The sequence below is a fragment of the Homo sapiens genome, chromosome 2, assembly GCF_000001405.40.
Source record: "Homo sapiens chromosome 2, GRCh38.p14 Primary Assembly".
NCBI lineage: Eukaryota > Metazoa > Chordata > Mammalia > Primates > Hominidae > Homo > Homo sapiens.
The window spans coordinates 54,573,318-54,597,471 of NC_000002.12; the positions used below are offsets into that span (position 1 = coordinate 54,573,318).

The 24,154-nt window shown below is 42.4% G+C and overlaps 1 protein-coding gene and 1 long non-coding RNA gene across 14 annotated transcripts in view, besides 6 other annotated features; one reads left to right on the forward strand and one right to left on the reverse strand.

The window, feature by feature from the left end:
• Positions 1-24,154, forward strand: part of SPTBN1 (spectrin beta, non-erythrocytic 1) — a 215,120-nt gene that overhangs the window by 116,991 nt on the left and 73,975 nt on the right. The gene's annotated exons all lie outside the window — the stretch shown is intronic.
• Positions 1,181-1,340: a silencer, noted in NCBI's record as "silent region_11488". NCBI's record gives its function as "represses an Ori minimal core promoter by ATAC-STARR-seq in GM12878 lymphoblastoid cells {active_cell/tissue: GM12878}" and the evidence as "EXISTENCE:reporter gene assay evidence [ECO:0000049][PMID:35858748]".
• Positions 1,411-1,470: a silencer, noted in NCBI's record as "silent region_11489". NCBI's record gives its function as "represses an Ori minimal core promoter by ATAC-STARR-seq in GM12878 lymphoblastoid cells {active_cell/tissue: GM12878}" and the evidence as "EXISTENCE:reporter gene assay evidence [ECO:0000049][PMID:35858748]".
• Positions 5,874-5,923: an enhancer, noted in NCBI's record as "active region_15761". NCBI's record gives its function as "activates an Ori minimal core promoter by ATAC-STARR-seq in GM12878 lymphoblastoid cells {active_cell/tissue: GM12878}" and the evidence as "EXISTENCE:reporter gene assay evidence [ECO:0000049][PMID:35858748]".
• Positions 6,923-6,972: an enhancer, noted in NCBI's record as "active region_15762". NCBI's record gives its function as "activates an Ori minimal core promoter by ATAC-STARR-seq in GM12878 lymphoblastoid cells {active_cell/tissue: GM12878}" and the evidence as "EXISTENCE:reporter gene assay evidence [ECO:0000049][PMID:35858748]".
• On the reverse strand, positions 8,261-16,117 carry LOC124906008 (uncharacterized). Its single transcript, XR_007086322.1, has 3 exons — positions 11,153-16,117; positions 9,883-9,955; positions 8,261-8,674 (listed from the first exon to the last, which is right to left on the reverse strand). It is a non-coding gene; the product is annotated as an uncharacterized LOC124906008 (long non-coding RNA).
• Positions 16,298-16,347: an enhancer, noted in NCBI's record as "active region_15763". NCBI's record gives its function as "activates an Ori minimal core promoter by ATAC-STARR-seq in GM12878 lymphoblastoid cells {active_cell/tissue: GM12878}" and the evidence as "EXISTENCE:reporter gene assay evidence [ECO:0000049][PMID:35858748]".
• Positions 22,778-23,147: an enhancer, noted in NCBI's record as "active region_15764". NCBI's record gives its function as "activates an Ori minimal core promoter by ATAC-STARR-seq in GM12878 lymphoblastoid cells {active_cell/tissue: GM12878}" and the evidence as "EXISTENCE:reporter gene assay evidence [ECO:0000049][PMID:35858748]".

A 24,154-nucleotide genomic window follows, 5' to 3' on the forward strand; every position in this document is an offset into this window, starting at 1 on the left:
CCACCTCAGATCATCAGGCATTAGATTCTTATTAAGGAGTGGTAACCTAGATCCTTTGCATGCACAGTTCATGATAGGGTTTGGCTCCTGTGAGAATGCTGCTGCTGATCTGACAGGAGGCAGAGCTCAGGCAGTAATGCTTCCCATCCACCACTCACCTCCTGCTGTGTGGCCGGTTCCTAATAGGTCACGGGCCAGGACCAATACCGGTCTGTGACCTGGGGGTTGGGGACCCCTGACTCGGTGATTCAGCAGTTGATTTGGGATCCTCTGTCTTTGTTCCTCCTCCCTCAGCGGGAATTCACAGTGTAACTCATTTGCTAAGGTTTTCTGCGTTAGAAACAGAACTCCTTTTGGACTACTAGGAGACATGGTCATTAGAATAATTATGATTCTTAGTATGACTCAACCCCTTTTTAATATTCAGCCTTATGGAGGGCCTCTGCCTGCGGCTCTTTGCTCAGGCACTAGGGCCACAGGGGTGTAATTTCTATCTCTGCCCTCAGGAAGCTCACAAACAAGTCAAGAGACAGGAAAACGGATCCTGTTTTTCTAATGGGATTTGAATGGATGTATTTATGGGAGGGGGGTGCTTTGTACACCTGCAAAACAGAACACCAGCCCTCCCTTCTCCTCTGGGGTTGCTGTGAGAATCAGTTAGAATAATGTGCATGAACCCCGTATGGAAAATACAAACTCATAATTAAATCTAAGAAATTTTTGTGGGGGGACACAAATGTTGGGGTTGTCTTTGTTCTCAGGTCCCCTCAACTGGTCTAATGAAGGAAACAGACACCTTTCCAGTAACAATAGCCAACATTTATTGGACACTTATGTACCAGACTGTGCTATTTATGACATACATTATCTAATTTCACAATCAGAAGAATGCTAGAGATAGGGTCAGGCGTTATCTCTGTTTACAGATGAGGAAAGCAAGGCTTGGAGAGAATGCCATACAGTTATTAGTGTGGCGGAGCCGGCCTTTGCACCTGGCTGTTGACCACGCCCTAGCATTAAACCATTACCTCACACTGCTTCTCCGAGATAGTTATCTTCTTGGGATCATTTAGGTGTGGCAGGATCTGGAGGGAGCAGTTGGACCCAAGTCTCCTAGCAGCAGCCTACACGTTTCTTGAGTCTGTTTTGAAACAACTTCCTTAGCCCTAGCTGCGCAGAAAGCATCCTCCCCTCAGAGTGATGATTTTTATCATGTGGTTTCCTTCCTCCTGCCTTTGGAGGTCAGGTCTTCTCACCCAGGGTCAGAAAGCCCATCAGTTGCTGATAAGCTGCAGCACTTGAGTCACAGGGTGCAGGCCTGTGTTTAGAATGGGTCATGCTCATGTCAGGCACGTGGGGAATCAGTGATCCCATGAGAGCTCGATCAGTGCAGTCTGGTTTGGAATTGCAGGTCACACCCTTCCACCACTTTGCTCATGTGTCTACTGATGCCTGTGATGTAGTTAGTTAAACCACTGACTTCTTTCTCCTGCATCAAACATGACTTTTTGAAAAAGTGTGTGGGGGCTTTCCAGCATGAACCAGGCATAAACCAGGTACCTTCATGAACATATTATTTATCCCTTCAGTCACCCTGTGTGCTAGGTGGTATCATAACTGCTTTGTGGATTGAGGAACCTGAGGACCAGAAAGATGACTTGAGGTGGCAGCCTCATTTAGCCAGCAAGTAAGAAAATGGGTGATGGTGAACTTCTGCAGCAAGAGGGGGCCGTTTTCAACATTTCTGTGAATTCAAGGCGTGTGCTTCGTCTAAATAGGTGGAGACACGTAGGAAGGCATAGTGTATACATCCATCAGCACATGGGTAGATTTTGAGGTTTTTTTTGTTTTGTTTTAAATCCAGAGCGTTGTGTATTTGATCATTCTTGGAGATTCAGCCACATTCACAGGTGTTAAGTGTCACACCTAACCTAGCAATACAATACACAGCTGAAAGAAACCAGTCAGGTTTTCCCAATATCAATTTCTTTTTATTTTCTTTTCTGCAACTCCAGAGGATTCAATAATGTCAATTTCTGATAAAGCTTTTGCTATTGATGAGTAAATTCTTCCATTAAAAAGATAACAGTCTGCTAATTTGCTTATCATTGATGTTGCAAGAGCGTAACATTGGAGGGATGAGTAATGCATCTGCATATCTCGAAGGACAAAACTGACGTCCACCCACTTGTGGATACGGTATTTGGTAAAAGTAACTAAGGTAAAATTGCCTAAGGGCATTTAACTTGAGCCATAGCTTAAATTCAGGTGATATTGAGCGTTGACATATCAGGATTCTTTTGTACACAGAGACGTGGATGTAGACCCACTGGTAGCAATTGCAAAGGCTCTGGATTTTTAGCTGCTGGATGAAATACCTGCAGCTGAACATCTGTTATGATGCAATTAAGCAGTGACTCAGTGGCGTGAAGGCTCAGTTTCGATGTATCGGGAACTCCTTTGAATCTGTCCACAAACTTCTCAACCAAAAGGAGAGGAGAAATGTGTACAGACATTTGAGAGGCTGGGTCTCAACATGCCTCTGCCTAGGCAGTCATGGGAACCTGGTCTTTTCTCCTGAGACAGGAATTAACCTGTAGTACGAGAAACATGGTTGGATGAGTGGTTAAAGCAGGGCCCAGACTTTGGTACAGTTTAGGTTATGGTAGCAGGGATAGGGAGAGAGGTGGATGATGGTAATGGTCTGTGTTTTTTTCCTTTTGTCACTCAGATCCAGCTTTTTTTTTTTTTTTTTGAGAGACAGTCTGGCTGTGTCTCCCAGGCTGGAGTGCAATGGTGCGATCTCGGCTCACTGCAACCTCTGCCTCCTGGGTTCAAGCGTTTCTCCTGCCTCAGCCTCCCCAGTAGCTGGGATTACGGGTGCCTGCCACCACTCCCGGCTAATGTTTGTATTTTAGTAGAGACAGGGTTTTACCATGTTGGCCAGGCTAGTCTTAAACTCCTAACCTCAGGTGATCCACCCACCTCGGCCTCCCAAAGTGTTGGGATTACAGGTGTGAGCCACCGCGCCCGGCCTTCAGCTCTTCTTTCTGCTATTGCTTTGGCCTAATTAATAACTTAAAGCTGGAACGTTGATGTCAGGTATGTGTAGGTCCAGGAAAACAGCTGTTGGCTCTGTTACTTCAATTTTTTTTTTACTCTATACTTTGAAGAAGTAGTACTTTCTAGAACTTGTACTCAAAACTCAACTGACAAATCCTGGAAGGCCGTTGCTTATACGCTCTAGTTGATGCGCCACAGCTGCCTGGCTGTGAGAATGGAGTAGCATGTACCTCTTAATTAGCCAAGAATAAGTGCCGTGGAAGAAGGCAGGATGACTTTTTAGAACCCATTTTTAGCTTGAAGATCACTGAGGGAGCCATCAAATCCATCCACCTGTTCAATCAATATTCAGCCAGCAAGTGGGTGTCAAGGTGAGCAGCTTACAGTGCTGAGCACACTGGAAACACAGGTGTGTAAGGGACAGCCACGGTCTCAAATTACATTCTGAAAGGGAATACTAGGTAAGTGATCCCAAACATGCAAATATCATTCCTTGGTCCTGGGATGTGGGGGAAGCATTTTGGAGGAATTGACATTGATTGCAAGTTTTTAAATATGACCTGGATTAGATTATGAGATGATGGGTGCTTGGGGGTAGGGGTGTACAGAGGGAGTCATGAAACCATGGAGGATGTTGGGGAATGGCTAGAATTCTACTTGGGACATCATGCAAGTTTTTTTTCCCCTTCCATTTCATTTGTTAATGCTTATTATTAGTTGGGGGTTTTGCCTCCTTTTTGTTAGCCAACAGCCAGCTAATCTTGGCACAGGTCCCGGGAATCAGGTGCTGCTTAGCAGCTGATGTTGGTTAAATGACCTTGGACAAGTGACTTGCATTTCAGTTCTCTAACCTGTTAGGGTTGTAGATTGTCTGATACAGATTTGAAGGCCCCTGCAAATAAATGCATGGCCGTTTACTCTGGTCACTTTCATTTTACCGAATGTGCTCCCCCAAGGCTCTTCTGGGTAGATGCCCACTGCCAAAACATTAAGCATTTTTGGCTTCTCATGCTTTGAGCTCACAAAATCAGTCCTGTGGGAAACCTAACAAGCTACAAAGGAGAGGGAAAGCAAAAGAAAAGGTATATGGATTCTCATGCAAAGAGAGAAGGAAAGTAGGTCCCTACCTAAAGTCTAGCCCTGTATTGGTGGTGGTACTGATAATGGTAATAGCCACCAAAACTTCTTGATACTCCCCTTGTGCAGGCATTGTCCTAAGTACTTTGCAGTATTGATTCATATGCTCCTCATAGCGTCCTTGTGTGATGTGTTATTTCCATTTTGAAGATGAGGAAACTGAGGCACAAAGGAAGCTGTGCCCAAGGACACTTAACTAGTAAATGGAGCCAGGATTCCAACCCACGCAGTGCGCTTTGGGACTCAATTTTTAACCATCTTGCTGTGCTGCCTGTTGAGCATTTTTCACCTGGTGCTTTTGTAGATCCCACATTAGGATTTTGTTAGGACCCTGGGCAACCTTGATTTAGTGAAAGCAGTTGTTGAGAGGTAGAAATTCCTGATCCTTTTTTCAATCTTAAAGGATTTGCTGAGACTCTCACTCTTCATTGGTGATGGTAACAAGGAGCAGCATGGTGAATGCCATGTAAAATTCAAGCCTTGCCTTATCTTGGAGGACTTTATTCCCTTTTCTTTGATGGTACTTTGGAGATTCCAGACTATAAAGGACTCAGCTGACAGTACAGACTCTCTTGATCTGTATTTTCCCAGTATATGAAATTATTTGTAATGTACCCGTGAGAACCTGGAATAAACTGTACTGGCACTGAAGTAGAATCTTGGATTTAAAAGTACAGTGTTCACTGCTGCATCGTTGAGCATTTGCTACACAGAGAATAACCTTGGAGCAATGTTCAAAGGTGATGGCATTACCCAGAAACATGGAGTTAGGCCAGGAAACCACATCTGAAGTTCAGATTATTGGAGATTGCTGATTTTTCTTGACTTTAAATATTTTCGACTGGTTGAGTGTTTGTTGGTGTTTTTGGGCTAAGTGTTAGCCTTTTGTTCTGTGATGTCCCTGTGTGAATAAAATGGATAATCCCTGTTTCCGGTTAGCTGCTGCTGCTGCTGCTGCTGCCAAGTATAAGTGAAGACTTCCAGCTGCGATTTGCATTGTGTTTTCAGGCCACCTTTTGAGTTTCCCCATAGCAGATATAAAAACTGTTTCTAAGAGTTCATCCTTACGTGTTCAGCCTTACTTGTATCCTAAAACCACAAACTTGATTTTGTTCCCATTCATTATGATCTATATTTGGCATCAGTGAGGCAAGTTATTTATATTTATTATTTATACCCTGCCCACTTCCAGAAATGATTTAATTTGGCCTAGGCAAGTGTCTTCTGATGGGGTGTGTGTGTGTGTGTGTGTGTGTGTGTGATGATAATTCTGATGTGTGTGTGTATGATGCTACTTCTGCCACTTCAAGAGTCCAGAATCATAAGATTCCTAATAGGATTGTTGGGTTGGTGAATGCTGGGTTTGTTCTCTTCTATGCCCTCTCTGTCCAGGAGAAATCTGAGTATCTTTCTTAGGAATGCCTAACACTGCTAGACTGAAAGGTGCCATGTCACCATTTTTCCCAAGAAATTTTCTTTTGAGGGTGCTATAGAGAAGCCCTCTGGTATGAATGTATTAGGCTGGTGCAAAAGTAATTGTGGCTTTTGCAATTAAAAGTAATGACAAAACTACAATTACTTCTGCACCAACCTAATATATATTATATATTCCCATTTTGTTCTTTTCAGAATAAAGCTTCCTAGGAGTTTCTCTAGCTCATGACCTCTTTTACCTTTACTTTCAGTTGCAGTGTTCTTAGCTCATAGAAGGAGCTTTGACGGCACATAGAATGAAGTATAACAGCTTCCGTTTGACCTGAGGCATCCCTCAGGTATGAGAATGTCACCCAGAGATCGAATACAGTGCCAGGTTATCAACTACCATTTTTTGGGACTGATTCTCTGCTCATGTGTGACCATTATTTGGGGAAATCATACAGTACCACAAACCAGAAGTTTCTGAAAACACCTAAACTCCCCATCTTTCACACTCACCCATAGGGACCGTGGCCCCCAATGAGGGGTAGTTCGTCTCTGTATTGGTAGCATTAGCGCACGTGCTATATAGCTCTCTTAATACCTGAACTGTGGACAGACCAGATCCTCACTGAGCTGAAGCACATTGGCATATTAAGGGAGCCCAGCATTGCTGTTTGGCCCTGCTTTTGAACTGGGAAGATATATTGCTGCATGGAGTTCTGAAAAGTACCTTTGTAAGTCCCGAGAACTCCTGTTGACCTTTGGATTTAGGTAAAATGTAAGTCTTAGGAGAATTGATGAGAATGTAGGAACCAGTTTTAGCCAATGCATTAAGACTAAAATGACTCTATTGTTTGTCAGGCTTTGCCAGAAAGTATAGTGAGAGAGAGAGATCCTAAAACTCTGAAAGCAAATAGCCCACAGCAGTTAACTGTATTGACTTTGGAAACAGGTTATAAACCCAAACCTCTGTGCTGAACTTGAATGGGTGTTTCTTCTCTCCTTTCTGAGGGTAAAAGCTGCTGGTGAGAACGGCTCTCTGGTGTTGCTAGGACAGACCTGTATGACCTTCTTTATGTAAATAATTAACAGGGGAATATTTTCATTTACGTTAAAGCCATATATGAGAGAGATTTCCGGGCTGGCTCTGACAGCCTCTGGCCCCACTGGAGAAGGAAGCCAGCACTGAAAAAATTCAAGCTTCCGGCCACACGGAACCTGAGAATATTCTCTATGACAGCAGTGGCTGTGAAGCTGTTTCTTTAAAGTAAAACCCCTTTTGAAGGTTAGTCTGGGGTGACTTTACTGTTACATAGGGAGTAGATTTTGTTTCTTGATGGTTCGTTGAGTGGTAGAGAGGTTAAAGGTAGAACTAACATATGTAGAACTAAAAAGCATCTGAAACTTTTAGCAAACCAGTAATATTTAGAGGCTTCTGCCCACTCTGGGTAGGCATTTTTATCTTGTATACCCATACCAGCTTTTCACATCCTGTTTCTTGAGAATACATAAAGAGCACATTTCTCCACATTATCAGGAAAACAATTTGAAGCACAGGTCTTGTGAATTGGGAAGACCACTAGTATTGCCATTAGCTGCTTATTTGTGTGTGTGTTGGAGGATGGATTATAATCCAAGTGTATTCATATTCTCACACTTTAACCAAAAAAAAAAAAAAATCTCCAAAATCTTCTCTCTTGCATTGTTTATTGATAGAATGGGAAACTTACTGCTGGTAACTAGTTAATTCTGAAAGGGTTAGGGTTTCTACTGTATACTTCCAAAAGTACAGGCCTGGGGGAGCCAATATGAGAGACACACATAACCAAAAATTTGTAAAAACTTTATTTTTTAATAAAAATTATAAATAAAAATTATAGGCCGGGTGCACTAGCTCATCCCTGTAATTCCAGCATTTTGGGAGGCTGAGGCGGACTGATCACTTGAGGTCAGGAGTTTGAAACCAGCCTGGGCAACATGTTGAAACCCTGTCTCTACTAAAAATACAAAAATTAGCCATGCATAGTGGCACACACGTGTAATCCCAGCTACTTGGGTGGCTGAGGCACGAGAGTCGCTTGAGTCCGGGTGGTGGAGGTTGCAGTGAGCCACGATCACGCCACTGCACTCCAGCCTGGGCAAAAGAGCAAGACTTAGTCTTAAAAAAAAAGAAAAAATATATAAATATATACACACACACTTTATATATTTTTATATATAATCTCATACAACATGTTTTGAAATACACGTGCATTGTGGAATGGCTATATTGAAAGCTAATACATAACAAATTTAATGATAATACAAGTGTAGAATGGACAACAAAGGGGTTGTGCATAATCATCAAGTACTTCTCATTAGTAAAAACCCTTTTCATTTGCTTAGAATTGAGGAGGAGGGGATGCTCTAAATTGAGGATTCTCCATAGGGTCGTCCGTGAGACACAAGATGTTGACTGTCCCACTTACCCAGGACATGGGTATCCTTTTGATGCTGACAGCATTTGCTGCTGCTTTCCAGGGAATCATGGCTGACATTGAACTTCCACTGCCTCTGGGCTGCTTTGCTCACTCCTCCTAGGCAGGCAAGCCGACCCTTGGGAAGCTCAGCATTTAGCCTTCATGCTTTGGTTTCTTTGCCCTTTTTTTTTTTTTTTTTTTTTTTGAAACTTTTATTTGCTCTGGGACCACTTTGAGGTTGAAGGTACAGCCCACAGTTTAAGAAAACTGTCCCAAACCTGAGCTAATAAACAAGAGTAAAAGCCTTTTTCTCTTGTCATTACTACTTCCTCCTCACTGACTAATTAGCCAGCTGCTGCAGGTCTCATTAAACTTCATTAATCCTAAGCATCTGTCTGTAGGAACTGCCTCAAGATAAAAAGAGGAAGCTCCGCTAAACATTTTTGTTGCTGCTGCTAATTACCACAAGCTATGCTTTTTATTAATTAATGGCTCTACTTGCCTCCAAATCCTACTGAAGAACTTTGCGAGACAACAGGCACTTCATTCTTCTGTAGCTGCAGACATGCTGCTCTGTGGTTTGGTGCATGGGGTACCTGTAAATTATCAGCACCGAGAATACGCTAGCTCTGGAAACCAAGGTAGAGAAAAAAATACATCTGGAAGTCTGGTTATGTGTAACTTGAACTTGCTCAAAGCCTTCAGCTGACACTGATGCTTTTTAAAAACATGGCAGTGATAAATTATTTCATCACTTTGCTCAAATACATTAATGCAAAACATTACAAAACTAGTTTTCTTGACTCAGCTTCCAGGGTCTAAGAAAGCATTTTATTGGGGGGTTGTGATGCCAGAGCATAAGGGATGTTAAAGGTGACACTTAAAAAGGAAGGTGTCGATCTTGGTTCTGGTCTGGTGGTGCCTGAGAGCAGGGACTCCTTGAAGGTGCAAGATGAATTACACTCCTCCCAGGTGTCAGGCAGGGGAGAGAAGCACCCTCCATTTAGAAATATGGAGGATTAGCCAGGCATAGTGGCGGGCGCCTGTAGTCCCAGCTACTCTGGAGGCTGAGGCAGGAGAATGGCGTGAATCCAGGAGGCGGAGCTTGCAGTGAGCCGAGATCATGCCACTGCACTCCAGCCTGGGTGACAGAGCAAGACTCCGTCTCAAAAAAAAAAAAAAAAAGAAATATGGAGGATTCTTTCTGATGAGGGCTTCTGCACTGAATTACGTAAAACTCCCATTTCGGAATTATCAGGAATTAAGGTGGCAGGATACCTTAAGAGATTTAATTCAGTGTGGTCCATTTAGGTTGGGGGGAATCTTACTGAGCATTAAGGCTTGAACCCCATTTCATATCAGTTGGAGCCAAAGGTCCTTGCTAATGTAGAACTCTCTGTAGAGTGGTGGGGGCTATCAAGTCAAACTGCTGGGACTGTGCTTGCTTCGTGACTGTGGGCAAATAACTGAATTTTTCTAGGCTTGAATTTGCTCTTATACAAAATATGTTTGGTGGTAAGAGTACCTACTTCACAGAGTAGTTGTGAGAATTGAGTTTTAATGAAGTGCTTAGAAGAGTACCTGGCCCTAGTAAACACTCAGTAAACCCTGACTATAGGGGTGGACATGGAAGAAGATAATTTAATTCCTCCGTCATCTAGGACCATGCTGGAGCCCTTCCCACTTGCGTAGCTGAAGCACTGGTGGATGAACCCCCATTTGCCTCTGATCTTATTCCTGCCGCTGCTTGGTGATGTCCCCTGGACTCAGTTGTCAGCTCTGAAGCTTTGACCCCTTGACTCACCTCTGGTCAGTTGGTCCCACAGTGCTTTGCTTGATCCTCTCTGTTGCCATCTGTTCCCATGCGGTATAATTACCTGTTAATAAGGCTGGTGTCAGTAAACTGTAAACTCTTTCTGCTTCTGCGTCTATCCTTATTTCCTACTGCTTAGTAGAGCAATTTAAAACCTTTTTAAGAATGGATTTGCATTTCCTGTAGATGAAACCTGAGGTGGAACCCCAGTAAATCAAGGGTATGAAATGGGAGCTTTTCTGACCAAAGTGTAGGTGAGAAGATACCTGGAGGCTGACCCTGGGCTTTGCTCTTTCTGCATCCCTTGCTAGGAACATGGTTTGAAAACTACTCCCCTGGCATCCTGTAGACCCCAGTGTTTCTTCAGTGAATGTCACTTTTTAAAAATTAATATCCTTAGTGTCTCCATCTATTACAAGGAAGTATTAATGTTTGTTTGCCGTATTATGCTTACAAATGTTATATAAAGTTAACTACCAATTTAGTATGCCCCAGAAGAAAGACATGAAAATTCAGGGTGGCATTTTATTTTAGCATATTCATTGAAGGCAGCAGTACACATAGGACCTTTTGTGATGCCCCAGAAGAGTATGTTTTCCTCCAGTGAGTGCTCTTTTTATTCCTACTCATCAGTCCCAGACCCATCGGGTGAACCTCAATTCTCTTATCAAATAAAAAATCATTTCATATTTTCCCCTTTAATGGGAACGCTCTTTAAATTTTTCAAAATTAATATGTGCTCCTAAAAAAACAAAAACAGAAAACCAGCAGTGTATTCATAGAAATACAGAAGTGGAAATGCCTCCTGTCTGCTTCTACTCCCTTGAGAGAAGACGGTTAATAGTTTGGAAGATATCCTTCGATATCTTTTTATGCAGTTACTTACATTTAAACATATACATTCGTAGGATCATACTGAATATTATACACTGTTCTATAAGGGACTCTTGCATTCAGTAATATTATATGGCCACTTTCCGAAGCCTGTATGCTGTAGGTTTTCCTTACTCTTTTTAATGCATACATATTATTTTATAAGGATGTCCCGTATTTTAATTATTCAACCTATTAATGTATATTTAGTTTCTAGTCTTTTCTGTTTTGCTGTTGCTATTCTTTTTGACAATTATTTTTTAAATCTGTAGTGCACATTCTGTACATCTTCGTTTTCTTGCACAAATATTTCTAGAAAACAAATATCTATAGATGTGATTAGTAGATGGAGGAAATACATACTATAAATTTTGATATCACTACTTACCTTCTCACCAACCACATGTGAGTGTCCTAGTTTCTCCACACCTTCAGTAGGTGAAAGGATTTGTCTTTCAAATGTTGTATAGAATAGGGTTATAGTTTATTTTCCCCTACTTCCACCTAGTCCTGAAAGTGGATCCTCTGCTATCTGCCACCCCAGCAGAACATCTATAAGTTTCCAGCCCTTCCCACCCAGATCCAAGATTATTATCTTTATGGAGGCTGTTGAGAAGCAGCCAAGGTCATTATTAAACAATAAAATGCCCCTGAAGAACAAATCAGCAAGAGCAAGAAGCTTCCTAGGCTATGTCAAGGTAGCTGAACAATAAGACTACACCTAAGACAATATTGGCTTACTGTCTCCCTCCTTACACCCAAACTGACAAAACTACAAACAGCCAGGTCCCCACACCTGTTGGAAGCACCTGACTTTTTGGAGTGGGAGATAAAGGCTTGCGTGTAGGGACAAGGGAGAGGTGGGGTGGGAGGCTTGCAAGTGGATGCATTCATGGATGTTATAAAGATCTGTATTCCGTTTTATGGGAAGAGATTTACATTTAAGTTTAGCAACACTGCAAGAGGTTTACATTTCCAAAATTAATAGAACAACAGAAAAATCAGATCTCCCCATTTATGCCCTCTTGTTCAAAACTTTCCTTTTTCATTTGAAGAAAATTAAATTTAGACAGATGACCAGTTTTAAGCTTAGAAGATTCAATATGACCAAGACCATACATTGTCTTGTATAAAAGTGTGTTTAAAGCTTTGGTTAGTGTTCCTATAATGCAAAATAGGTTTTGATTTAAAGTAACAACACAGAATACTCTTGTGTTCTATGAACTGTCAACTGCCCTGCCCTCTTCTGATGAGTGTGAGGGATCTTATGGTGCTACCCTGCCTGTTGGCTAGTCATCTTGGGGTTGAATCTGAGGTCATTTTTTCCTCCAGTTTTTCTGTCCTCCTCTATTAAAACAAGGCAATGTACATTGGGTACTTACAGGATTTGTCCACCAAAACTCTGTAGTATTTGGCTTTGAAAGAAATCTTGTATAACCATTTTATGTGTGAGGTTGAGGAAAGCCACAAAGGAAATTAGCAGAAGTGTTTTTCAGTGTTTGACCCTATGTGTAATAACTTTCTCTTTTACATGTTAAGATATCTTTAAAATAATTGAATGGTAGCTGAGTATCAATTGTCTAATGCTGTGAGCTCTCATGGAGTCAGAAATTACTCCTTACATTTTTAAAGAGAGAACTCTTAATGCTTTTAGATGTCCTTCCCAGTGTCCTTATATTAGTTACTCGATAAATGGTTGCTGTGGACTAATCCAAGATGAAAAAATGACAGGCGACCTTTATGGCTGAATGTTGGGTATTAGTGTTCTGCCTGGAATAATTTTTCAGGCAGTGGAATAGTTGGCTGAGTTGAAAATATAACCGTGGATTGGGTCAGCCTATCATTCAATAAATTACTTCCTGAATGAAGAATACTCTGTGAGAAGTGAAATTTTGAGTTACACATTGGGATATGATATCACTTAGAAAATAGTGCTAAACTTTAAAATTCTTTAGTTTCAGAATTTTCTAAATCAGGGAGGGGCTTGTCAGTATAAAATTATACATTTTGTTTTTTGATCTTGTCACAGTTGTTCGTGACTTCTGAAATCCAAGTGTGGTTTGGAGACGACTTTACCCCACTCCTCCCCAAACACACATTGGTAGTCCGTGGCTTACTTGCGTAGACAACTGTGATTGTGGAGTTTGGCACTCGAATTGAGACAGTCGTATTTAATTTATCAATCTGTCGTTTCAACCCTGAACTTTTCTACAATGGGTTATGGTCACTGGCCAAAAAGGGTTTAGGTGACTCATGTGTAATGTTCTTCAGAACAGAAGCCAATTTTTAAATCCTTTTGTATTTATGTTCATTTATTTTTAAATATAATTCCTCTTCTCATTAAGTGGAATCTTGTCATAATTCTATAGTTTCAAGTGATAACTTGGCATTGCTGTGGCTTTCTTTATTCCAAAATGCTAATCCTTTGCAGATAAATTTATACATTCTGTATAGTCTGATTTGGAGGACTTCTGTATCTTAGCTTATCTTAGATGGGAGCTTCCATAATTCATTCAGGGATTAGTCAGTGCTATACTGTGCATGCATAGTAGACAGCTCTGTGTGGTGGCTTTAAGTCTTTTGACTCCCCCTCTTTCTGGTCTTTGTGTCTTTCTGGTTTAAAAGAAAAAATATCCCTCAGACCTTAGCTTTTTGGATTCAATGAATTACTGTTAACTTTGACATCCTCATTAAATAGGAGAGCTGTCGGAAACTGTCAAGAACGGCTGGAATTGGTACTGTTATCTTGTTGGCGACGTCAGCTTCTGTGGGCATCTGTGCAAAAACATTGAGGTAGAGCAGAATCCTCTTCTATCTTGAATGTCTGAAAATAATGTGACTGGTGTGTTTGAAAGAGTTCTATTTTTCCCTCTTTGCCCTTAATTATTTTGGCCTTAAGGATTCCGGAAACCTGGAGTAGATTGAAAACCATAATAAGCAAGGGCCGGGGAGCATGTTATTTGATTTTTTAATAAACTACCTCTGACTAGCTTACACGCCCCGTAGAACATTAAGGCTACTTTTTGTGTATATTGCATGAAATAAGAAACATCACAAATTTGAATTCTCTCTCAATACCTCTGCTTTATCCAAGGCTCCTACAACAAAAGCCTACCTTTAGCCCTTGAAAATGAAGTAGAGGATTTTATCTTTACTGGTGAATTTGTGTGCCACATGGTAGACTAGTATAGAATGTAATATTTACTGCTTCTTTAATGTTCCTTAGGAAGAATATCACACAGACATCTCCCTTCTCCATATGTTGCAATTATACTACTTTCATGAAGTCTTGAGTGTGCCTGTTACGGTTGGTGCGCTTTAAAACATTCTTTTCTACTTAGTCTGTATTCGTGTTAACGTTCTGCCATTCTGTGTTAAGTTCTGCCGTTCTGTGTTGTTTAGTAATTAAGTGTATGGTATCTATTTAGTTCTAAGTTTTTCCTAACTTTTAAGGGCATTGCAAGTTACCCTCAGCCCACCTTGGATTGAAGTCCCCTTCCATGGAGGACTGGAGGAGAAGAGGTGATGGTGTATGAAGTGTCCATCAAAATAAGAGCTGAAGAGCCTTCAGCTTGTGGGGAGGGCTGGAAAGTTGGAAGATCAGGCCTCAAGCTGTTCCACCCTTCTCATCCTTTGAAGGTGAGGGTGCAGCCTTGAGGTCTAGCCTGTGGTGATTACCATAGTTTGTCCCTCCTGCCAAATGGGGTGGCACACTCCATCCCGTAAGTGAAGGTAACCAGATAAATACCCACTCCGCTGGGGAGTGGAAGGGGCCCCGAGTTCACCCTGTGACTGACCTGACATGTGGATATCACTTACCAGAAAATGCTTGTGGCTACTGAGCATTAACCTGGCAACATATTCAATAGCAAAATTTAAAATAGTACCCAGTGTGGTGCCTTGCTCATAGCAAGCACTTAGTACCTATTTGCTAAGCTGATTTTAATTTGAAGTGGAGTCTAACAAATGGGATGTGGGATCAACAGTATTATTATATTGAAATGTTTTAAACCAGGACATGCCAAACTTTTTCTATAAAGGACCAGATAATAACTGTTAGGCTTTGTGGGCCACATGGAGTCTCTATGGGGTATCATCAGCCTCCTCCCCTTCCTCTTCCTCCTCCTTTTAACCACCCTCTTAAAATGTAAAACCTGTGTGTCTCCCAGGCTACATAAAAAGAGGCTACTGGCTGAAGTTTGCTGACTCCTATTTTATATTAATCTTTTAACTCAGTCTGAAGGAACTGACCAGACATGGATGGTTATGAGTTTTTTCTTCTTGTTTTGGGGAGGTGATGTCTTGTTTTCCTCAGGCAGTGTGGGATGGTGGTTGGAACTAAATAGATACCATCCCACACTCCCTGTGTGGGATGGAGTGCCTCAGGTGCTTTGGGATTCTGTAGGGTTCAGATAAATGTGGGCTCTAATTCTGGGTGTTTATTTGCTAGCAGCATGCCCTCGGGGGGATCCCAAAACCAGTCTGTGCCTCAGCCACCTCAGTTAGTTAGAAATCACAGGCTGTAATGAAGGAGGGAAAGTGAGTGAAGATCCTAATGCAGCATCACTAGTGCACACCTGGGCTTACTTCAGCCTTTGCCCTAACTGATCAGTCACCCTGACTGCAGTTCCCATCCTGTAGAGATGGAGAGTAGCAGGTTAATGGGCTCAGGATATGACTTCCTGTATGTGAAAGCAGTTTGGAAGCATGCTACCCATTTTTAGTCAAACACAGTGAACAGTTACTGAGAATTTTATCACAAGGTCCTAATTCTGTTTTTTTACATTTGCTTTTTCCACCTGGTTTTGGCACCTTACACTATTGGTTTTTTTTGTTTTGTTTTTTAAAAAATATTTTTAACTTTTGTGGATACATAGTAGATGTATATATTTATGGGGTATGTGATGTTTTAATATAGGTATGTGATGCTTAATAATCACATCGTGGAGAATGGGATATCCATCCCCTCAAGCATTTATCTTTTGTGTTACAAACAATCCAATTATACTCTTAGTTATCTTTAAATGTACAATTAACTTATTATTGATTAATTCACACTGGTTCCCACCTTAGCTCTCATCTTAGAAGAGGTAGTTGTGTTGCTTTGCCTCTTATTTTCGGAGAAAGCCCCCATCATAACCTCAGCTCCCTCCAGAGTCTTGGCTTCTTATGGATTGTGACTTTATGCGGCTCACCTTGACGTACGACTGTGACAGAGGCAGGACCCTGGTGACAGAGCCTCATTTCTCAGTTATTGTGGGTCTCCTCTCAGAAGTTGTGCCTGCAGTGCCTTGGTCTCCACATTGGCAAACTGGGGTTGTGCCGCTCAGAAGAAAGGCCCTCTGGAAGCTGCAGGAGGGACTGCCCAGCAGATGCAACCTGTAGGTGCCAGGTCATAGAGAGCTCATGGTGGGTTTTGTAGTCGGCCCATCAGACAGTTACTAGCAGACAATTGCATATTTGCTTCACATGCATTTAGAGCAAATATTTACATGTGTTTTGTCCATGATGCAAGTTAAACAGTTAAGGAAACTATTGTAACTCAAATTCTATTTTTATACAAATCAGCAAACATGAATTTAAGGCCTTCAGACTAGTCCGTCACAGGGAGGACTTCAGTCAAAAGATTAGTTTCCTTCCTGTTGCTGCCTCAAGATAACAGTTGGATTCTCTGTTATCAATACAGCCAGCTGCCTGTTTCCGGCTTCCTGCTCTGTGTATTTTGCATGTTACTCATGGGAAATGATTTATTTATTTTTTCAAGCTAAGGCATATAGGGGGACTCCACCCTACCACTATTCTTTTGTTTTGAGTTAAGATCCTTTTTTATTCTTTATTTTAAAACAGTTCAAGAATTAAACTTTAATATATAAATTGTTAAAGTTGCAACAAATTAAGTCTTGTGACAATTGACCTGATTGGGTCATGTTTAAATAATGTTGTAATATGTTACAATGATGTCCTAATCACACCGTTGTGTATTTTGCAACTTCACTTTACCGTACAGGTATGTGGTGGCAATTGCCCAAAGATAAAACAAGCAAACAAAAAACAGAATTTGTCAAACATTTTAGTTTGGCTCTGGACCCATTTTAGTCTGAATGACAGCACCACAAAATTGCATTTTTATCCGTATTTCAGACATTGAGGAATTGCAAGAAGCAGTTCACCTGTCATATATTTTTAGTGCTATACAATGACAACATTTAACTGCCTAGGGCCTGTCTTTGTGATATGAAATTTCCCTCCTCAACAATTTCAGTGAGACCACCACCAACAATAAGATTTATCGAGAACCTAGTTGTTGGACACTGGAGGTTTGCTGACTCATTGAACAAATGTTTATTGTGCACCTCCTTTATGTCATGTATATGCTAAAGCTCTAAACATGAATAGGATTGAGCCTTTGCCTCTGAGCCAACTGCAAGTTAATTGAAGAGATAGGACACAAGACGTATAATAAAAGATGAGAGACCACATCCCATCAAATGATGATTGCTGACATCTGATAGGAGAGGGCCTCTTGGTAGAACTAATCTTGGCTGGATCTTAAAGGAAGGGTAAGAGAAAACTGCCTTCTAGGTTAGAAGAATGATAGAAGCAAAGATGGGAAAAAGCAGTGTGCAAGGTGAGAGTTCAGAGCATGAGAGTAAGACCTGTTAGGTTGGAACAAAAGACGGCATGTCAGGGAAGTTCCCAGATGAAGCTGATGCCTTAGGAGAGCCCGTTTGGGACCTTTAAATGCCAGGTTCAGAGATTTGGACTGTCTTCTGGATAGCTGGGGTCCGTTGAAGGTTTTGGTGCAGTGCTGCAACTTTGAAAAACCACTGATTGAGGAACATGGCTATGGTAGTGATGTTTAAGGTGGATTAGAATGCGGAGAGAGGCCCAAGGCAGGGGAGTTCAGTTGGGGTCTGAAACCACCCAAATTGTGGTGAGCTTTGTTCAAAACACGCAAAAATAGATTGTCAAAATTATTCTCTTAGCAACTGATCTTGTACTTCTTTGTAATGTCTTTTTGTTATTTTTTAACTTTTTATTTTGTATCCCCAGCTAGATTTCTAGTTCATTGAGGGTAAGAGACTTTATCTTAGACACAGAGTTCTAGGTAAAGTATGCACTTTGTAATATTGGAGCTCACTAATACTCTCAATTTCAGATTAGTCAGCTAACACAGTATTATTGATTTAAATAGTGGGGATATGTTCATGGGATGATTGCTTCCTCCCCTTTTGATTTCTTCTTAACTTCCATCCCTGTAATTCCTTTCTTTCTTACTTTGAACCCAAGACTACACCTAACTTAACTATATGTCTGTGCAAAGCAAAAACTACATGATTGCTGTCTCTTACTTAGGGGGTAGGCCATTATCTTAGCACAATTGAAGAGCCTGATAGAAAATATTACTGGGTTATACGTGCAGGTTCAGACTACTTGAAAAGTAAAAGAAAGATTCCTTCTCTTAAGCCAGGTATAAATTCAGTCTTTAGGGGAACAATGAATAGGGTCTTTTGACAGTTCCTGATTCTATGTTTCCTTTTTTTTCCATCCGGAGATGTTCCATGCCTTCAGGCTTTCCTTCATTCCTGGCTCCCATCCCTTTCCATAACCAGAACTGTGGCATATGGTGAATATAGTTGTGTTTAGCACTCTGTGCTGAGGGTATTGCAGAAAGATGCCGTACAATCATTTCCATCATGCAGTGCCCTTCTGCTCATCAAAGCTATTTCTGTATCCTAACTTGACTCACGCTAACACAGTGTTCATTTTTTCAGTTATAGCAAATTCTCTAGAGTAAATAAATATGGGGCTGGGTGCAGTGGCCCACACCTGTAATTCACTTTGGGAGGCTAAGGTGGGAGGATCACTGGAGACCAGGAGTTTGAGGTCAGCCTGGGCAATCTAATGAGACCCTATTTCTACAAAAAAAAATGAAAAAGCCAGGTGTGATGGTGCATGCCTGTAATCCTAGTTACTCTGGAGGTTGAGGTGGGAAGATTGCTTCAGCCCAGGAGTCCAAAATTACAGTGAGCTGTGATCACACCACTACACTCTAGCTGGGGTGACAGACTCCTTCTCTAATATATTCATTGGTTAATTAATTTAAAAATATAAATTAAAAAATTACATAGACGCATTACAGCCTTTCAGTATTTATCACAGTCATTCCCTAAAAAGAAAAGAAGTAGATGTTATGCTTCTAGAAGAGGATGATGGTGGAGAGGATATTCACAGCCCTTTTTTTTAACCATTAAGCAAATGTGTTTCTCAGTTCTAAATATTTCATACTTTTTTTTTTCTTTTTTCTTTTTTTTTATCTGAGACAGAGTTTTGCTCCTGTTGCCCAGGCTGGAGTGCAAAGGCACCACCTTGGCTCACCGCAACCTCTGCCTCCCGGGTTCAAACGATTCTCCTGCCTCAGCCTCCCGAGTAGCTGGGATTACAGACATGCGCCACCACGCCTGGCTAATTTTGTGTTTTTAGTAGAGATGGGGGTTTCTCCATGTTAGTCAGACTGGTCTCAAACTACTTCTGACCTCAGGTATTCCACCTGCCTTGGCCTCCCAAAGTGCTGGGAATTACAGGTGTGAGCCAACGCGCCCAGCTACCTCATCCTTTTTTTCTAATACATCTTCTAAGAATTTCAAGTTGTTTATCAGAAACCAAACAACAAAAGATAGTGAATCTCAGTATATGACAGGAGAAGGTGTAGCTATGCATCTTAATCCCTCTTGCCTGGCTGGAGTGGGAGAGAAAGAGCCGAGGACCTCACCACTACTGGCTGGTGACACTTAGCAGCCCTTAACCTCACTGAGCCTTGGGCTTTGCTAGAGATAACTCTAGCATCCCACCTACCTAATAGTTTGCTGTGAAGATCTAGTGAGCTTAGAGAAAGTATGAAGTGCCATTCAGATGCATGGCAATGTTATTGCAGACACACCATCTTATAAAATTCCATCTGGAGGAAGGAGCACCATACTAGGATTTCCCTTATAATTTACTCCTTCTGGGAATCAGAATCTGATGTAAATGCCACTCACTTGAGGGTGGGTTTCTTGTCTCAGTAGTTCTCATTGACAGTAGTTAGCTAATTTACTTATCTCTGAGCCTGTGGAACTAAAGGCTGAGCTGGTTGGGTCTTCACACTCAGAACCATTTCTGGTTCCTAGGTTCTCGGGGCTCCAAGGTCATTTTGGTAGAATTTGTGGTCCTGAGAAGCTTATTTTGAGACCATTGTTAGGAGCCCTTCTTTCTGTCTCCCACCCCTGTCATGTCACAGAGACAGCCTCACCACGTTCCTCCCACGGAGGGCTGCTGGTTCTTTTTGTCCTTTTTTCACTTTGTTTTCCACTTTCCTCCCTGGACTGCCAGAGCTGCAGCTGCCTCGAGTCCTGGGTTGTGTTGGTAGGTAAGTGATGTCCAGGCTGCCTAGAGGTGGGGTCCTCAGGTGTGATCTTGGATCCCACTTGTACCACATTGTACAGCATTGCAAAGAGGGGATGGTGAGAAGTGTTTGAACCTGAGGGCCTTTACATGGAGAAGTGAGGAGACCTATTCTGCATACTCTGAAGGTGGTGCAAGCCATAGTGGGCCACAGAGACAGGTCTAGTCTTGATGGAGACACCATCCCAACAGATGGAGAGTTACCCAATAATGCAGCAGACCCTTTACAAAATAAGGACTTGCGTTAGTTAGGATGGTGAGATGGTGGGTAATTCTAAGTCTTGTATCATGGAAACACTTTTTTTTTTTTTTTTTTTTTTTTTTTGAGACAGAGTCTTAACGCTGTCGCCCAGGCTGGAGTGCGGTGGCATGATCTTGGCTCACTGCAACCTCCGCCTCCCAGGTTCAAGTAGTTCTCCTGCCTCAGCCTCCTGAGTAGCTGGGTTACAGGTGCGTGCCACCATGCCCGGCTAATTTTTGTATTTTTAGTAGAGACGGGGTTTCACCATGTTGGTCAGGCTGGTCTTGAACTCCTGACCTCATGATCCGCCCACCTCGGCCTCCCAAAGCTGGGATTATAGGTGTGAGCCACTGTGTCTGGCAGAAACACTTTTTTAAATGTTGTGCGTGAGGCATTATTGCATAGTGGATGAGAACCAGGGCTCTGGAGCCAGCCTGCCTGGAGAGTTGCTGGCTCCTGCCTCATGGGGCAGTTGTGGGGATTGATTATAAGTGCAGTTAGCCCTCTGTATCTGCAGGTTCCTCATTTGTGGATTCAGCTGACAACAGAACGAAAATATTTGAAAAAAAAATTAACAATACAATAGAATACAAATAAGATGCAATATAGCAGCTGTTTACACAATATTTACATTGTATTAGTTATGAATAATCTAGAGATGATCTAAAGTATACAGGAAGATGTATGTTGGTTATAGGCAAATACTATATACCATGCTATATAAGGGACTTGAGCATAAGGAGTTTGGTTTCTGAGGGAGGTCCTGGAACAAATTCCCCGTAGATACTGGGATTAGATACGGAAGGACGACTGTGCCTGGGACATAGTAAGTGCTCAGTGAATGCTATAATTATATTTTAATAAAAAAGAAAAAAAGTCATTTTCTTTCCATACAACTATTAAACAACCTTCTGCCACACACACATAATTTCCTCATATTCTGGGATTTTTAAATAGCTGGCCCAGGTGTTGAAGAAGGGATTTTTTGAAAGAGAAGTGATTTACATAACTTCTAAATCTTGTTCAGTCCTGAGATTTTACGATTCCATGACCCTCTGGTAAGTTTCTTTTTTTTTTTTTTTTTTGAGACAGAGTTTCGCTCTTGTTGCCAAGGCTGGAGTGCAATGGCACAATCTCGGCTCACTGCAACCTTTTTCTCCTGGGTTCAAGTGATTCTCCTGCCTCAGCCTCACAAGTAGCTGGGATTAGAGGCATGTGCCACCACACCTGGCTAATTTTGTATTTTTAGTAGAGACAGAGTTTCACCATGTTGGTCAGGCTGGTCTCAAACTCCTGACCTCAGGAGATCCACCTCTCAGCCTCCCAAAGTGCTGGGATTACAGGCATGAGCCACTGCACCTGGCCAATTTCTTAAATGATTTGAATTAGTGAGACTATTTCTTTGCTGGAGAAAAGACGGAACTAATTTAGAGCAGTTACAACACTCTGGGCACTTTGATGTGCACTTTACCTCCTCTTGTTTGGTGCTGGGCAGTCTTTAGATGAGTCCTTATAATACGTAAGCTTAGTAAACTGCGGGAGGGTGGGGGCAAATATAGCTGAGAGATACCCCCAGAGGGCAGGGGCACAGAAGTGCTTGTTCCTTGGAGGCACCACTTACCAAGTTTGGGGCAGGGCTGGTTGGGAACCTACTGAAAGGTTTAGCTGCGTCAGCTTCTTGGGGAGGACTTGATAACAGCGATACAAGGCCCAGAAAAGGTAAACGGAGAATGGAAATGGTGTGAGGCACAGAAGTGCCCACCTCACATCGCCCAGACCCAGCCCGCCCCAGCTCCATGCTGCTGGTGCTGCTGCTCCTCTGCCTTGCAAAGGGCGTGCCCTTGGTGGCGTGAGTGGGCCTGAAGGCCGGCCATTTCTGCTGCCTTCGAGCTGACCTGCAGGTCATCAAAGAGAATGATGAAAGAATAGCAACCCACCTTGGAGGGGTGCTCTCTGGGGAGTGTCTTCCAAGATTTCTCAACCTAGCACCGCTGATATTTTGGGCCAGATAATTGTTTGTTATGGGAGCCATCCTGTGTACCGCAGGATGTTAAGCAGCATCCTGGGCCTCTACCCTCTAAATGCCAGTAGCATCTACCCATGAATCGTGACCATCAACACTGTATGTAGACATTGCCAAACTGCTAAATGTGCCGAGGAATCAAAATTGCCCCTGCTGGAGAACCTTGGGTCTAAATAACCAAACCAGTATGGAGCTTGTAAGTGCTACCTTTTTGTACCTTTTTGTACCTTTTGTACCGTGGTTGTAAGAAGCAACCACGGTTGCTTCATGCTCATAGGCCTGGAAGTCGGCTCACTGCCCTCTGCTGCCCCAACACCTCCTCACGCAGCTAGCCCCAGTCACAGCAGCTTGAGCTTGGAAGCACTCCTGGATTGCCTTTCATCGTCAGTGCCAAGGGCCTCCTGCTCCTCCTCAGACTGTCTGGCCCATATCCCCAAGCCTTGCTGGGTGGGGAGTGCAGGGGTGATGTCATTGTGCCTTCCCAGGATAGGTGGAACAAAGGAGGGAGTCCCCAAGGACCCGAAGCCTGATCCTCTACTGAGCCACCAAATAGATTTCTTTTCCCCTCTGTCTCCCTCCTTCCAACTTCATAAGCATTTGCTGTTCTCCAAGTGCTCCATTGTAAGAGGACACGCTAGTTGACTGGGGCTTTGTGTGTCTCTGTTGAGTCCGTTTCCTGCCCCTCGTGTGTTATGAGGGTGTTGATTCTGGTCTGGTCCCCGGATGGAATCTTCTGTGTCTTTTCCAACGTGGGGGTGTGAACCTGAGGAACTTAGACCCTGCGTGATTTTTCCAGCACTCTTGCACTTCGTGGGGCCTGCTCCTGACTGTGAGGAGAGTTCGAAGGGAGGGGAACAGGAAGAGAGGGCAGGAACACAAGAGCTTGTTTTTTTATTTTTGACATCTCTTCCTCCTCTTCTTTCCTCCCACCTACTTTGAGTTTCTAAGAACCATGATAGCCCTGGGGAGCCCTCCCGGCACAGATCTCAGTCTGTTTCAGCTCTGTTCTCTGCACCCACCCATGACCTCTCCATTTGCCTCTCTGTAGGGAGGAGGGTTGGGATTGGGCTGTAACTCTTTAGGACAGGGCACTAAGGAAGTATATTGACTGTTGTTTCTGGCAAATCCTCAGAGTTTCCTTGTGAAAGAACCTGTTAATTCAAAACCTGAAAGAAGTCTGGGTGCTCCTTTAGTGAGAGATTCACCCAAAAGAGTGACAATTGGCTGAGGAACACATTTTGTGCTTGTTTATTTAGAAATATTTTAATCCAAGCAGGTTTTCATTTTGATCTTGCTCCCTTGCTTCATTAAAGACATTTTCTGACTCCAGTATAACGCATAAAGGATTTTATAATTCACAAAAAAAATTGTTAACCCTAAATACATATAAACTATGAGTTACTTGCCTCCTTGATAAGAGGCCATCTGTGAAATGCACCTTACATATTCTGCTCTAGACCTGCTCTTTCAGAATGGCCAAGCTTAGCCCCAGAATTACAGCTCCTGAGTCACTGTAGTAAAGTTGCCATCCATCACAATGATTACGTGATCAATAATGCATGTGGTCTTTTCTGTGGGACCTGTCATGATGTTATTGGTGCAGCTGCTTCTCCACTGCAGCCTGCCCCTTACTGTCTTTTTCTGCTTCCTCTAATCCTGTCCTTTTTGATCCTGTGTTTCTG